The sequence below is a fragment of the Homo sapiens genome, chromosome 13 (genome assembly GCF_000001405.40).
Source record: "Homo sapiens chromosome 13, GRCh38.p14 Primary Assembly".
Classification (NCBI taxonomy): Eukaryota; Metazoa; Chordata; class Mammalia; order Primates; family Hominidae; genus Homo; species Homo sapiens.
In genome coordinates, this window is record NC_000013.11 from 89,819,143 (window position 1) to 89,835,575 (window position 16,433).

General features: G+C 33.5%; 1 pseudogene; it reads right to left on the reverse strand.

Moving 5' to 3' along the window:
- Positions 14,015 to 14,923, reverse strand: RPL7L1P1 (RPL7L1 pseudogene 1; annotated as a pseudogene).

Consider the following 16,433-nt stretch of genomic DNA (forward strand, 5'->3'; position numbering starts at 1 on the left):
TCATCTTGAATTGTAACTCCCACAATTCCCACATGAGGAATCCAGTGGGAGGTGACTGAATTTTGGGGGATGGGTCTTTCCTGCACTGTTCTCATGATAGTGAATGAGTCTCATAAGATCTGATGGTTTTTAAAATGAGAGTTTTCCTACACAAGCTCTCTTTCTCTGCCTGCTACCATCCATGTAAGACATGACTTGCTCCCCCTTGCCTTCTATCATGATTGTGAGGCCTCCTCAGCCATGTGGAACTGTAAGTCTATTAAACCTCTTTCTTTTGTAAATTGCCCAGTCTTGGATATATCTTTATCAGCAGCATGAAAATGGACTAATACACCAGCTAATTAGCAGATTAAGGCAGAAGGATTGCTTGAGCTCAGAAGTTTGAAGCTGCAGTGAACTATGATTACACCACTGCACTCCAGCCTGGGTGACAGTGGAACCCCCATCTCAAAAAGTAATACAACCTGCCTCGGCCTCCCAAAGTGCAGGGATTACAGGTGTTGACCAACATGATGAAAACCTGTCTCTTCTAAAAATACAAAAAATTAGCCGGGCGTGGTGGCAGGCACCTGTAATCCCAGCTACTCATGAGGCCTGAGGCAGGATAATCACCTGAACCCGGGAGGTGGAGGTTGCAGTGAGCTGAGATCGTGCCACTGCACTCCAGCCTGGGCAACAAAAGCAAAACTCTGCCTCAAAAAAAAAAAAAAAAAAAGCAATACAAAAATGAAACAAAAATAAAAATAAAATAAAATGCAGTTTAGTTGGTTTACTTTGTTTCTTCACCCCTTTATCTCCTTAAAGGTTGTTCTCATTAAAGTGTTATATTAATTACCCCTTATTTCACTGAGTAATTGTCATATTGAGGGCTTAAGCAATCAAGGCAATTCTTTTTATATTTTTTTTTTTACCAAGAACAAAATCTACTATCAAAGCATGCACATTTTTATGAACTGTGGGTCCACATTCAGTTTTAGAGAATCACATGGTCACAGGTCTGAATAATAAAGGAACATAAATGTAAAGAACCTATTTCTATTTGAATATTAACTTTCTTTTTTATTGGAAATATTGACATAATCACTGATTTTAGTAAATTATTTGTACAATGCAAATTTCATTTTGGAAAAGTCTATAAAGGTCATCTGGTTCTCTTTCATTTGTAAAATTTGACCTGGACTTTAGGAATATTCTGATAGTGTAGGTGGTGTTCTAATTAAATAGCTGCTCTGACACTCTCAAGTTGTTATAGGATTCAATATATGAAAACATTTTGGGTATTTCAGTAAATATTTTGCTCTCTTTCTTCTACTACACACTTATAATATAATGCATTTTGTTTGTTTGTTTGTTTGACGGAGTCTCACTTTGTTGTCCAGGCTGGAGTGTAGTGTCTGTTCTCCGCTCACTGCAACCTCTGCCTCCCAGGTTTAAATGATTCTCCTGCCTTGAGAAGCTACGTGTGAGTAGCTGGGACTACAGGCACGTGCCACCACACCCGGCTAATTTTTTGTATTTTTGGTAGAGAGGGGATTTCACCGTGCTAGCCATGATGGTCTCGATCTCATGACCTCGTGGTCCACTTGCCTCGGTTTCCCAAAGTGCTGGGATTATAGGAGTGAGCCACCGTGCCGGCCGCAAGATTTTCAAAACGGATAATTTTCTTCTTTTACACAACTTTATTTTTACACTTTGATCATCCTCTGCTTCCTTAAAGCATGTTCTATGGCAAAACACAGTATTATTTTTAAATATCAGATTATTTTCTTCTTTCAAATTGAAATTTGTGTATCTATGTGTCCACAAGTGCATGTGTTTGCAGATCTTTCTCTCTTATATTGATAAACATAAGGCATTGCATATATTTATCACAATTTATTTGTTTATATCTTATAAAACAAAGTGATAAGAAAAATAGCTTAGATGATGCCAACTTCTCCACTGAGAAAGTAAAGTCTAACATCATCAAAATACGTAAAAACTGGCCATACACGGTGACTCACGCCTGTAGTCTCAACACTTTGGGAGGCTGAGGCACACAGATCAATCGAAGTCAGGAGTTTGAGACCAACCTGGCCAACATGGTAAAATCCTGTCCCTACTAAAAAATACAAAAATTAGCCAGCATGATGCTGCTTGCCTATAGTCCCAGCTACTTGGCAGGCAGAGGTTGCAGTGATCCAAGATCACTTAGGAGATCAATATAATTTTGAAAATAATTCATATTAGGAAACATGAGATATATGGAGAATAGATGCTAACATTCTGAGAAAAACATTTAAAATTCAATTTTAATGTAGTAAAAGATGCAATTGGTTGATTAAATATATACTTGACAAGCAAGTGTATAGTGGGCTTTTTTCCCCGAAAACAAAAATATTCATTATAACAAAAAAGTCCACAATATAGTGATGTGTGGCTTGTCAGTCAGATCCTCATTTTATTAGCTTGCCTTAATAACGATCTCAATGAGGATAATGAACTTTCTTCAGACCTTCAACTATGTGTCTTAATATTTTCTAGATAATGTATATTATCTGGAGAACAGTTTTCCAAAATATGTTATCGGAATATATCACAACCTTAGGACTTCATGAATTACATAAAACACAATTTTTCAGGTATTTGAGGGTTTGAAATTTGTTCTGATGGGTATTTTTCATTTTCATTTTATTCTTATGAGAGGAAATACAAATAATGATGCCATTTAAAAATATTATTAAAGCAGTGGTACAATCAGATTATTAAATTAGCTTCCGCAATCAGACAGAAATATATTGAAAGCTGCCTTCATTTATTTTCTCTGCTAGTTTGAGCTTCAGTTTCCTTATATCTAAAATTTATAATAATAATAACAATAATAGTATCTAATTCATAAGGATGTTTTGAGGATTTGATGAAGTAATAAAAGTAATCTCAGTAACTGTTTCACAGGACTAAATAATTTTGAATGAATAGGTTTTTCATTTACATTATTGATAAGGATTGCGTAAATGTTATCTCTCTAATTATTCATTTATTTATCATATTGGAGACCAACTGGGCTAGTTGAATATATAGATACTAATGGAAGGGTAGTAGTTCTTTTCTATATAATAGCCTAATAAAGAATTTTTTAAATGTCATCTGGAATGGAGGCTAATAACCATGAAAGGTGTCTGGTAATTCTATTGATGAGGTCTTTCCATTAGGCTCTTGCAAAGAGGAAAATGTGAGGCTCTTTATGCAGGATAGAGAAACTTGTGCTTTCACTCCCCCCCTTACAATATGGAATGAGATGGTGGATATTTTAGTGGGAGGACTGTAAATAAAATGATGCCTAAGTTATACAACACTTTCACAGAACATGTTTGTCACTGGCTTGTTCTTTAAGTTACTTCAGACCGTTCATTTTTTACCCCCAAACTGAACAGTTTCAGTCTTTCTCTTCCTTTCTCACTCACTCTCTCTCTGAATGCTTTCTATGAGTGCTTTGTGTCTGATGTTTTAGGTGCAGTTCATTTTTTTGTAGTGAATAGTGTTCTTGTGTATTCATGACAGAGCCTCACGTATTTACGACTGTTTTTCTTTCCTCAATCTCTGACCAAGAAGAGAACGAGACCTGATGAATGTCAAGTGACTAGGAGATATAAATACCAAGTTGGTCTGAGTGACACAAGAGAGGTGAATTATTGAACATAAATGGATCATGTCAACAAAGAATTGTGACTGGAATTTGTAATGGTTTATACTTTTTCCTTTTTAGTAATCACAAATGGCAAAAATACAGATACTGTATTTAAATCTTTAAAGCAGAACAATAAATAATTACTAACCAAATAAAATACACATCTTAGTAGCATATTCTGAATAATTAAAAGGAAATCTGTCAGGTAAAATATATGTCTTGCTTACTTTTAATTTTATATAAATATTTAAACATTGGCTTTTGGACTCACAAGATATTTAAGCCCTATACGTAAACAATTCATTATTGATAAAATTAAAGGGCATATATGTTTGTTCATATAAACATCCTTATTATTCTAGTAAAAATTGTTTAGGTTCTTGTTAGTTTATGTACATAGTAATAACTATATAGTATAGGAATGTATATGCACACACACACCATATATATAATAAAAAGAAATATACTCTGTATATAGTATGTGTGTGTATATGTATATAGTATGTGTGTTTGTGTATATATATATATATATATAGAAACAAGAACCTAAACAATTTTACATTTTAAACAGTTTTGCTTATATATATGATTACAACAATAAAAAAATTAACAACCTGTGAAATGCATTATAGTTATATTTATTTTAAATACATCTTTATTTACATGTTGTTTACTCATTAAGATCAATATGTTCTCATTCATTGATTCAACAAAGAGCACATGTACTTAGTTGGTTAATGTGAAATTTTTAAAGTTCGGTTTGTAATTACCTAATGTTACAGAATGAAGAAATAAAAGCTAACAGCCTACTTCTAGAAAATTTTCTACATAAGTTATGTCTCCTTTCTTAATGAGAGAATGAGGGAGAGAAAAACCGTTTAAAGGTTGGTATTTTTGAGTAAATCAGAAATAAGAATGCTAACTGCACTGGTCATCAAGAGTTGTTAGTACTTAAAAAAATGCATTAGTTACTACTAACCTAGTAGTTAGTTGCCCAAAGAAAATAAAACAAATTGAATGATAATAGTTACGTGTCAATTCTGTAAGTGTTTTCTTGAAAGAGAAAAGAGCACCAGCTCCTTCTTCTGAAGTAATAGCCTTTAGATAACAAGATTAGCATAATTTGGAAAAATTCATGGCCCTTATGGACAAAAGCCAGGAGGAGGAGTATCATAAATACCTGAGGCTTCATCACAAAATAGGATTGCAATAGTTGTCTTATGTTTATCCTGTTCCAAAATTATTGGAAACTCATTCTCTAATTATACTTTGAACTGGAGGTGGGGACATCAATGGCTTAAAATAGTCAATAAATTATACTGGGAACAATTAATATCCACATTCATCATTCAACCTCCATCCCCAGCATTAATTTGACCTAGTTGTGTGAAATGAAGCCAAAAAGAATAACAGAGTTAGCACCACTGATTTACCACTTCCTTCTTGGTTGTTATTTCATAAGCAATCTTTTTACCATGCACCTTCTTCTTCCCTTACTTCCCCACCCCCATACAGAAACATATTTCTTGGAGCATGCTACTGCTGTTCAACTTGATTTAGATAATTTGGTTTTCTAAATAAAAGTTATTTATGTGATTAGTCAAACACTGTGCAAATGGCATATATACAAAGGTACTAAAGTAGACATGGCCCATTTATAAAATAGTAGGGAGATCATAGTACTCAAGTCAAATTTTCCCATGGACTCAACTGAGGAATTAGAAGCCTAAAAATAGCTGCATACAGATTAATGATATTCTATGAAATTGCTTTAATAATTCAATTCACTATTCGAAGTGGCCTACATAAGATCTTATGTTTCAGAGCATCTCTGTCCAATAGAATTTTTTGTATTGATGGAAGTGTTACATAATCTGTGATGTCCAATGTAGTAGTTACTAGCCATATTAACATACTGGGCACTTGAAACATGGCTTGTGTGACTGAACACTTGAATTTTAAACTGTATTTTCTATTAATTAATTTTAAATTAATTTTAAATATACATAGATAGCTTTTGGCTATTATATGTAAATATTCATTGGGGTGATAATGTATGTATTACATATAGTGTACGTAATACATTCTAAATATATAAAATATCATTTACATTATATAATAGAAAATATAGATAGAACATATATACACAAATAGAACTTTAGGCTTACAAAAAGTCTGCTAACACTAACACTTAACTATACAACAATTTTTTAAACAAAGAAATTAACATTTATATCATATGATTAATTAAGCTACAGATGGCCTTCCACATCCTTGGACTGGAACAAACATATATGAAAAATATTCAGAAAACAAAACCAAAAAATAGCAATACAACCATAAAAAATACAACACAATATAACACAATATAACAACTATTTATATAGCATATACAACACAATATAACAACTATTTATATAGCATATGCATTGTATTAGATGTTATATGTAATCTAGATATGATTTAAAATATAGAGGAGGATGTGCCTATATTACATGCCAGTAGTATGCCACTTTACATAAGGGACTTGAGCACGTGGTCATTGTGGTATCTGCAGAGGTCCTGGAAACAATCCCTCATGGATACAGAGGAAAGACTTTATAGTCTTTTTTCACGGTTACCAGGTTTTTTCACTCATGCCCTTTTGTTTTTCTTCTGGAATCCAAAGCAGGCTTCTGTGTTACATTTAGCTTTAATTTCTCCTTAGTCTCTTCTAATCAGCGTCGGTCCTTAGTTATTCTTTGTATTTAATGACTGACACTTCTGAAAAATAATTGTTAGTTTCTGTTATTGTTGTCATTTTGGTGGACTGCCCTTCCTATTGGGATATTCTCCCGTAATTAGACTGAGATTGTGCCCTTTAGGCAAGATCATCATAGAAGTGATGGTCTTAGTATATCACATCAGGTGATACAAGGTGTTGGTATTTATTATTATTGTTATCTTGTTCAATTGGTTGAGGGAATAATACAAGGTTTTGTTGTTGTTGTTGTTGTTGTTGTTGTTGTTATTTTGTGTTTTTTTTTTTTGAGATGAGTCTTGCTCTGTTGCCAGGCTGGAGTGCAGTGGCATGATCTTAGCTCACTGCAACCTCTGCCTCCTGAGTTCAAGCGATTCCCCTACCTCAGCCTCCTGAATAGCTGGGATTACAGACACATGCCACCACACCCAACTAATTTTTTGTATTTTTTAGTAGAGATGGGGTTTCACCATTTTGGCCAGGATGGTATCGATCTCCTGACCTCGTGATCTGCCTGCCTCGGCCTCCTAAAGTGCCAGGATTACAGGCGTGAGCCACAGTGCCTGACCAAGATTTCTTCACAATAGAGGTATTATGTTTTTCCTTTGTAATTAATAAATACTTTAGGAGAGGTAATTTGAATATATGCCAGTATCATATTTTTTCTCATATGTATGCTCAATAATTTTATCACTTATAGGCCAGGGAGTGTGGCTCATGCCTGTGGTTCCAGCACTTTGGGAGGCTGAGGGGGGTGGATCATGGGGTCAGGAGATCGAGATCATCCTGGGCAATATGGTGAAACCCCGTCTCTACTGAAAATACAATAATTGGCTGGGCATGGTGGCTCGCACCTGTAGTCCCAGCTACTAGGGAGGCTGAGGCTGGAGAATCGCTTGAACTCAGGAGGCAGAGGTTGCAGTGAGCTGAGATTGTGCCACCGCACTCTAGCCTGGCAACAGAGCAAGACTCTGTCAAAAAAAAAAAAAATTACCACTTATTTATTTAAATAATCAGAATAAATGCATAGACATTTATTTCATTCTATATATTATAAATACATATTTATCTTATTATTCAAATTATTTCTTTCTCGGCCTTTGGGAATTACATAAACGTAATAACAAATGGTTGGTTGTACAGTCATATGATTGAATAATATGTATTAAACTCAACTTTTAAACTTTTTAATGTTTAATAATATTGAACACATGTAATAACTATTTAACAATACAGAAAATTTAAATAAAATATGTTACATTTCCAAAAATATTCAAATATTGCTGAAGTTAAAAAATCCATTGGGATTTTGAAGGTATCATGTAAGAATATTCTATTATTTTACATTATGGAAAATTAATCCCAGAATAAACTAGTTAATGGGGAAGAATGTACAACTGCAGAATCAGGAAAACAAGTTCAAGATGAGTCTGTTTTGATAATACATGATAATAATTCAGTCTCTTCCTTTTTTCCCACTTCTTCCTGCTGTTTCTTTCTTCCCTGTTTTATCTATTTTCTAAGTATACATATACACACATATATAAATGCATATACATAGTTAATACCTTAATTATCTCCAAAATCGTATTTTATTTACCATTAAAGGGGACACCCTAATATTCTTTAAATACTTTTGTCCTTACTGCATTATTTATCTAAATGGTATGTTATGATCTTTTCAGTAGTAACTCATAATAATTTGCTCTCATTTAGTTTGCAGGAAACTTTAAAACCTAAGTAATATTTTTACTATATTGCAAGAGCCAAGAATTCCTTATTATGTTAACTGTACATTTTTTATTCTAATGGCTTTAAAATATTTAAGGAAAAGTAAGCTTACAATTATTTAAAGTCCTGATCAAAATACAAATATAGTTTCCTTAAGAATTTTTTAGTTTTACTTTGCAGAAAGTCTTTTGCTGAGTCTTTAGAAGTTCAAATTTAGATAACGTATTACAAAACCATATGTTGCCATGTTTGAACAATACATACTAATGCAGTTTACTTGTATTTCTAACAAAATAAAATATTACTCACAAAAGAGTTCAGGTTTCAGTTTCATTGTCTACATAAACAAACTTGGAATATTAATGTTGCTACCGAGTAATACATGGGCTTGCTGCCTGGTGCACATAGAGGCCAATCTCATGGCACTGGCTTTTGAAAAAAAGAAAAGCTTTATTGTGAGTGTCAACTGGCAAGGAGACAAGATAAAATGCTAAAATCTGTCTCCTCGGCTGGGATTTGGGTTGGGTTTTCTAAGCATAGGGCACCGAGGTATAATCTGATTGGATCTTACAATAAGGTGATGCCAGGAGCCATGACCTGATTGGATTCTGCCATGGGGTGACTCTAAAGCTTGATCTGATCGGATCTTGGATCCTGCTAAATGCTGTTAGCTTCTTAATTCTGTCTCTGCTCCTTTGTCCCAAAACTTAGGTCCTCCCCTGTGATTGCACAGTTGCTTCATCTGGGCATACTCAGCTTAGATGACCTTCAATCTGGGGGTCCATGACAACTAAAAAACAATTCACAACTTTGTTACATAAAAGTTGAATAAGATTGGTCTGATGTAGATAACAGTGTGCTCACAGTGACAGTAGGTCAAGGAGAAGGTGAGAAGCACAGAAATTGTGTAAATAGAAAATTCTGAAATACAGCCTGAGGAAAAATGTATAAGCAAGGGTCTTTCCGTGAAATAATTTGTCTTCCTAAACGCACACATCTGAATATCATCGGGAAAAGTAATTATTATAATCCTGTTCTTTTCTATATTTAAAAAGCACGACACCGTTTAACTGCTCCTTTAGAATGAATCAAAATTTCAGAATTTCCAATGAGGTTTAAAAGTATTGCTTTTATACCTTGGAACAAATAGAAACCTTAGCAAGGAACATAATATTAAGTATTTTATTTTGCTTAAATTTCTACTACTTAAACCATTTGGAAGTAAATGTATACTCACTAAAACTTTTGCAATGACTATTTCTGAGAATATAACAACAGGAACCACACAAATTGGATTCACTTCGTGTCTTTTTATGCTTTTGCTTAATGAAATAAAAAGGAACCTCTGCTTTATTTATTACAGCTAATACATTTTAAAAGTTACAATCTTCAAATTTGAATGGGATGTTAAATGGTTATGGCGCAAACATGAAGTCAAGAGTTTTGCAATGAAGTGCTATATTGCAGCAACATCCTGCAATATTTTTGCAGGATTAAATAAAAATTGCATTCAGTGGTACAAAAGGCACAAGAACAAATCAAAAGAAATCAGAAAACACTTTGAAATTATTATTGCAATATTGCAAACACTTTGAAATTATACATTTATATAAATGTATACCGTATACATTTTTAAAATGTTGGCATCATTGGAAACTAGCTATAATGTTGTTCTTAGTATGCTATTTTAAGTTAGGTATGAGGAACTCAAGCAATTGACTAATGATTTAACTTATTCTTTTTATAAGCAGCAAGCACAGTATTAGGTAGTGTGAGCATAAAAATGATTGTCAGCTTTTTTTTCCCTGACAGAATGTTTAAAATTATTAAGAAGAAGACAGAAGAATGACTAGAAAAATATAATATGCTGTGCATATTATCACACGTATGAGGTGTAGGTAAGCATAAGTTTATTGAGATTTAACAGATGGAACAGTTGACCACCATTAAAAACAGATAAAATTACTACAGTGGAAGAGGCTAGCCCAAATGTAAAAGGAAAGAGACCATTTGGCTAGGTTCAGAAAATAAATTCTATATTAATATTTGAACATATTTGACTCTATCTAGCTAAACTACAGCATTGGTCAAAAAAAGGGGGGAGGCTATAAAAATAATCTAGTTAATTTCCAAGTTAACAAACTTTGGAAAATTACATACACTTCCTGGTAATTTGGTGTGTGACCAGAAGTTTCTATCATAGTATATTTCAATTGCCATTTAGATATTCAAGAAGAGAGGAAAAATAACTGCAATAATGTTTAAACAGGATTGAGAGTTAACCTCATGCTGACTTGCAATGGATACCAGTGAAACAGAAATAGGTAAGCCAGCTCTTTGACGTAGTATAAAAATGAATGAGGCACTTTTCAACACTAACTATTAACTACGAACCTGAATGTAGACCCTTTAAGCAACAAATATTATCTTCTCATTTCAAAAATAAAATCTTGTACCAAGTTCAAAATGGTTCAGATTTCTTTCTATTGCACAGTGAGTGCTCTTTGGAAAAAACAGAATGTTTCTTTTCATTTCACTGCTTATCTCATCCCAAACCACTTTTTTTTCTAAATTTGCAACTATCAGCAAACATACTGGTAAGACATGGTGCCACATTGCTTCCCATAAAATATACTTCGTATGCAGAACTGAATGTAAGGCAAAAAATCGGTAGAGATCAGAAAGAAATACAAATCGATGTCTACCATCTGATAATAGGGTCAAATAGCGAAACATTGAGGAAAAATAATATTTTCATCACAATTTATCAGAGAACCAAAACATTAAAATTTTGATGTTGGGCCAAGAGTTTTTCATTTAACGCACATATCCAGGATGAACTAAAGTATTTAAGTCTCATCAAATTGGAAGAGAGAGGGGCCCAAAATAATCTTTATCAAGTTTCCACTAAAACATAGGGTTTGGAATAATTTGTTCTTATCTGAACATGAATAAACTCGATAACAATGAGGGAAATAAATGAAACTGTATGAAAATCTCTTTGTTGCCAGAGTTATTTAATACAACAATTAGACAATAATTTTAGAACTCTATTAGGCATCTTTGATAATTTGCAAGATTCCATGGCTTTTGAGAAAGAGAACTAACATTTTATTTTTGAGACAGGGTCTTGCTCTATCACCCAGGCTGGAGTACACTGCATAGCTCACTGCAGCCTAGAACTCCTGGGTGCAAGTGAGCCTCCTGCCTCAGCCTTCAAGTTGCTGGAACTACACGTGCGCACCACCACACCTGGCTAAGAATTAACCATTTAAAGAGAATATACAGTAAGGTAAGGAGCCAAGATAAGTGAAAATTGGAAATGGTAAACAGAAAGCACCAATTACCTAAAAAGTCCAACAGCAAAATTTAAAAAACATGATATAAGTTGTAAAATTAATACTGATAGATAAAATATGAATCAGGAACATGCAGAAGAGATCTCTCTAAATGCAAGTAGAAAATCTTTTTGAAAAGAAGGAGGGATGAGGTGATATATACGTAAAAAAGCAGAACTCTAACATAAGAACGCAGGCACTTTGGAAAAATGAGTAAGTGTAATCACAATGAAAGCTATAAACCAAATATTTCCAAGATGATTAAGGAGCCACGTTTTAAAGAAGCAATTATTACTATATTTCCCCGAAAAAAGCAATTGAGATCTTTAGAGGGCCTGGAAATATATCACATATACATTTTTACATAGTTGGATAAAATATCATAATATGTCAAGTAAAATTTTTTTTTTATCAAATAACAAGTACTGGATTGCTGATTTCTCAACAATATTTATATAAGAATGTCGGGAATATTTATATAAGAATGTTATCAGATCTTTAAATAACAAAGTTTATGACACACGAAATTAACATCCAGCCAAATTCTCTTTCATAAATGGAGGCCACGAAAATGTTTTTATAAATGCAAGAACCTAGAAAATCTAACATTTACATATGGTATCATATGGTATTTGAAGAAAATGGAGAGTATGATAAAGGCAAACGGGTTATAAACTGTGAGTACTAACTCAGGATTGAGAAATGGACTATAACTGGGCAAGGGGACATGGAATTTGGTCAAAGTATATTTGTAAATTGGAAGTAAAATTAGCTTAAATAATAAAACATAACTAACACATAAATAATACTAAAATCGACAATAAGGGCATAATTGTCAGCCTCAGTTTTTGTTTTTAAAATGTGAGAAAAGCATAGGACAAAAAGATGTGAAGGTGATTGTGCAGATGAAGTGCTCAAAACTATTCTCTCATTTTTTTCTCTCAATAATATGATGTAAATAAGTAGCGAGGTGAATTCTTGAAAACTCCTCAGTGATGCAACTTAAATAAGCAGGTATATCTACCCAAAACACTGAATATAGGAACATGGGTTATTTCACTGTATATTTCTTGCCTGGATTAGTATAATGTTTAAAGAGATCACACTTATGTGTCAGGAGCCTTTATGATAGTTCTTTGATCTCCAAAGCTTTAAGGCTGAAAAGATTTGGAAGCTGTTGTCAGTAATGGCAGAGAAAAAGCTGCCATCGTATTTGATATCCCTTTGATATTTGGCCTCTTTTTAGTTGTATGGATTCAGAAATCTTTTAGGGTCATGCAGTGATATACAGTGGACAATACTTTTGTCTTAAAATCTAGATAAAAAGTATATTTTTTAAATTTATTATTGAATATCTTTAGTCCCAAATTATAAAAACCTAATATTATTTAAAATATAGTTTTTCTTGTATGCCTTGGTCTTTTAATGAGTATAGATGAAATAAAATAGTTCTCTGTCACAATTCCAGTTTTGTTATAATTCCAGACAAAAAGACTGGAGTACATAATTTTTGCTGAGTAAATTATGTAATATAAATAAAACATAACAACAATGTACTAATGAAGTATCAATGGCTAAGCAAATGTTTCTCCCTTAGTTTTATTTATCTAATTCATTTAGAACTAATCAAAGTTGAATTAGAAGGCAAGATGAAATAAAGATTTTAAATTAATTTATCAGAATCATTACTAAAATGATCATTTCTTTGGATAAATTAATTAAATAGAGAAATAGAAAAGTAAATGAGGTGAAGGAAAGTTTATCTGAAAGGTATTCTTTAATAATTTTATTTTTAGAAAGACTTGTTTTCTCCAAGAAATAATCTAACCTATTTACAATTTCTAGGTAAAGCATTATTTACTAGACTTAGTCTTAATAAGCACTAAGGCTTCAAGCTTCAAAAGACAGAAAAATGGAATTTATGTCTTTGCCCTTAATAAATTGGAATGTCAGGAAAGAGGACAACATTCTATGCATTCCAACAAGAAAAAGACAACTCTTTGTTGAGAAGTATCATTTGCATAAAATGTAGTATCTGAATTTTCTTCTAAGTTCTTCTCAAAAATCAAACATATAACTCTGTGTCAATTTACTTTTCATTTTCTAATTTCCTTTATACATTCTTTCCACAAAAATTTGCTTACAACCCCCAACCAATTCAATATTTTCACTATTCTCATTGTCAATCAGATTATAAAAATCTCTTTTTTTTCACATCAGAAACAAGTGAACATTTATTTAGGTGCCTTTTTTCCTATGTGTATTTCAAATCTTTTTCAAAACAAGGCACCAGGAATCTCCAGATTGAATTATGTCCCTGGGCTAGATCAACTGCTGCTGGAGTCTTAGGGAGCCTTGTACAAATGCTAGAGTTACTCATTTACCAACATTAAATACTAGGAGACAAGATGCAACAAAGCCAGACTCCTTCCTCCGTGGAATGTGCTGATTTCAGAGGAGGCAGCAGCCAATGTAGAAAACACTGGAATTTTTCCTTGGAACTGGACTGCGATGAGAGGTGCTTGCCATGAAAATGACCTACTGTCTTTTCTTTGATCCTTCCTTTCTAGTTTTTGAAGACTAAAGCAGGAAATAATCTTCTCTGAAGATACTTGATAAAAATTCCCAAAAAAGCAAAAACACATGCTTCCACTTCACTGATAAAAATGTACTGCAGTTTGGCACCTGGGTCTAGTTCAGCTGGTGGATGAGCTGATTGGTGCGTTTACCCTGATGGCCAAGTGAGTCCATCTCCTTGAGGAAGTCCACTGTATTTTTGGTAGCATGACAGGCCACTGAGAGGTGGAAAGGGTGCAAGAACCATGAGATCTCCTGGAAATGCTTCTCTGGGAAGGCAATTTCATGAATGAGGTTTTCCAAGCAAATGACACCAAACTTCCCCAAGTGCTCCTCAATCACTGTGTTGTCTGTTAGAGGAATGGTCTTATTCTTGACCTTGGCTTGTCCCTGTTTCAAAATGAGTTCCCGGACAGATTTCAGATTTGGAAATCCTCAGGTCACATAAGTTTCCACTAAAAGCAGCATTTTTAGGTTCCGGTGGGTGACATTTACAAAGACACCACTAAAACTTTTCCTTAGGTGAAGTCTTGCAATGGTTTTCCGCACCAGTAAACTCACGCCATCAATTCTTTTGATGCCTACAACAAAAGCCAAAGAATGTTTATCTGGCAATTCCAAGGTATGAACTTTCACTTCTAGTCATCTGAGACACACCTTGTCACGTTTCTGCTGTCAGAAATCATGTAGGAATGATTCCAATTGCTTAAACCTGAAGCCTTTTCCTTTCCTCTGCTCCTTTGCCAAAAGTGCCTGCTTTGCCTGGGTGGCTTTGAGGGCTTGATAAGCCTCCCTCTTTTTCAGGAGATTTTCTGGAACCAAAGGGATTTTTCTTTGCTCTTGTTCTGCCATCTTTCTAGTGTTGCAGCTCAAAAATCTCACACATTATAACTGACTACACATTTTAAAAACTGCATTATATAATATGTATACAAAAGAATATAATAGATATGTATACCGTAAAATGTAGTAATAAAATGAACAACTACGAAGCCACCACTCAGCCTAAGAAATATATTATCAAAATCCTGGCATTTACTTTTGTTTTGCTGTCCATTAAATTCTTCTATCTAATCCAACAGGCGGTCACAATATGTTATTAAATTTTGTATTTGTCATTACCTTTCCATGCAATACAATGTTTAGTGTAGGTTATTTTTTAAACTTCATATAAACATTTTAGTATTTATGCTAATTGCTTCTTCATGCAACACTAAATATAGTACGTGTCCAAGTTTTAGTGTTTTGCTATAATTCATTTGTTTTTTAAGCAATAAAAATTATATTGTCTGAATATTTCACATTTTATTCATCCATCTTCCTCTTGATAGACATGTAACATGTTTCTTCTCAGATTCTGCTCCCGTCAATAATATCACTCTGAATACTCATGTACAGGTCTCCTGTTCTATACACACATGGTTTCTCTAACATATATCCCTAGGAGAGAAAATACCTGTACAAGGTCATGCCACATTGTTTTTAAATTTTTAAAGAATACATACTCTTCAACCCTATCTTCTATAATGCATATTTTTCTCAGATTTTTTTTTACGTGTGTATTGCAGCTTATTAAAAGAAACTGTAGGCAGGAAGAAATTGGAAGAGTCTCCTGGTCTGTGTAGGTCCCCCAAACAGAAAACTGGAGACTGTTACATCAATGCATGGATTATATTTAATTCAATGAGTTTCTACTACTGTCTGTGTCTATGCAATATCACCCAAAACAAGATGTAGATAGAACATTTCCATCACCTCAGAAAGTCTGCTTGTGCCCCATTGAAGTTGACCCTTCTTTCTACCCACTGCAACTTTCTGATTTTTAATCGCTTAGAGTAATTTTGCCAAAAATTGCCCTTTATATAAAGTATATATGAACTCATGAAGTTTACGTTATTTAGTATCTGGCTTCTTTTAACTTATTCTTTGACTTTTATCTATCGTTACATCAATTAGTAGTTCCTTCCTTTTTTATTGCTAAGTATTATTTCACCAAATAAATATGACAAAATATTTTAACAGATGCAGAAGGATTATTGCTGTAAGTTAATTAATGTAATGTCCCAGCTACTTGTGATGCTGAGGTGGGAGGATCATTTGCACCCAAGAGGTCAAGCCTGCGGGGGGCAGTTGTACCACTGCACTTCAGTCTGGGTTACAGAGCAAGACACTGTCTCATAAATAATAAAAAGACATTATAAGAGCTCATATTATATAGATGTTCAACAAATTTGTGTTGTTACTTCGAACATTTTAATCAAAATAAGTGGTCCACATTTAGTAGTACCAAGGTAATATGTGGAGACTGATAGTTTTAGTTAATTTTAAGATGAGAAATTATCTTCATTCATTGATTTTTTAAAAGTATCTGTTATGGTTT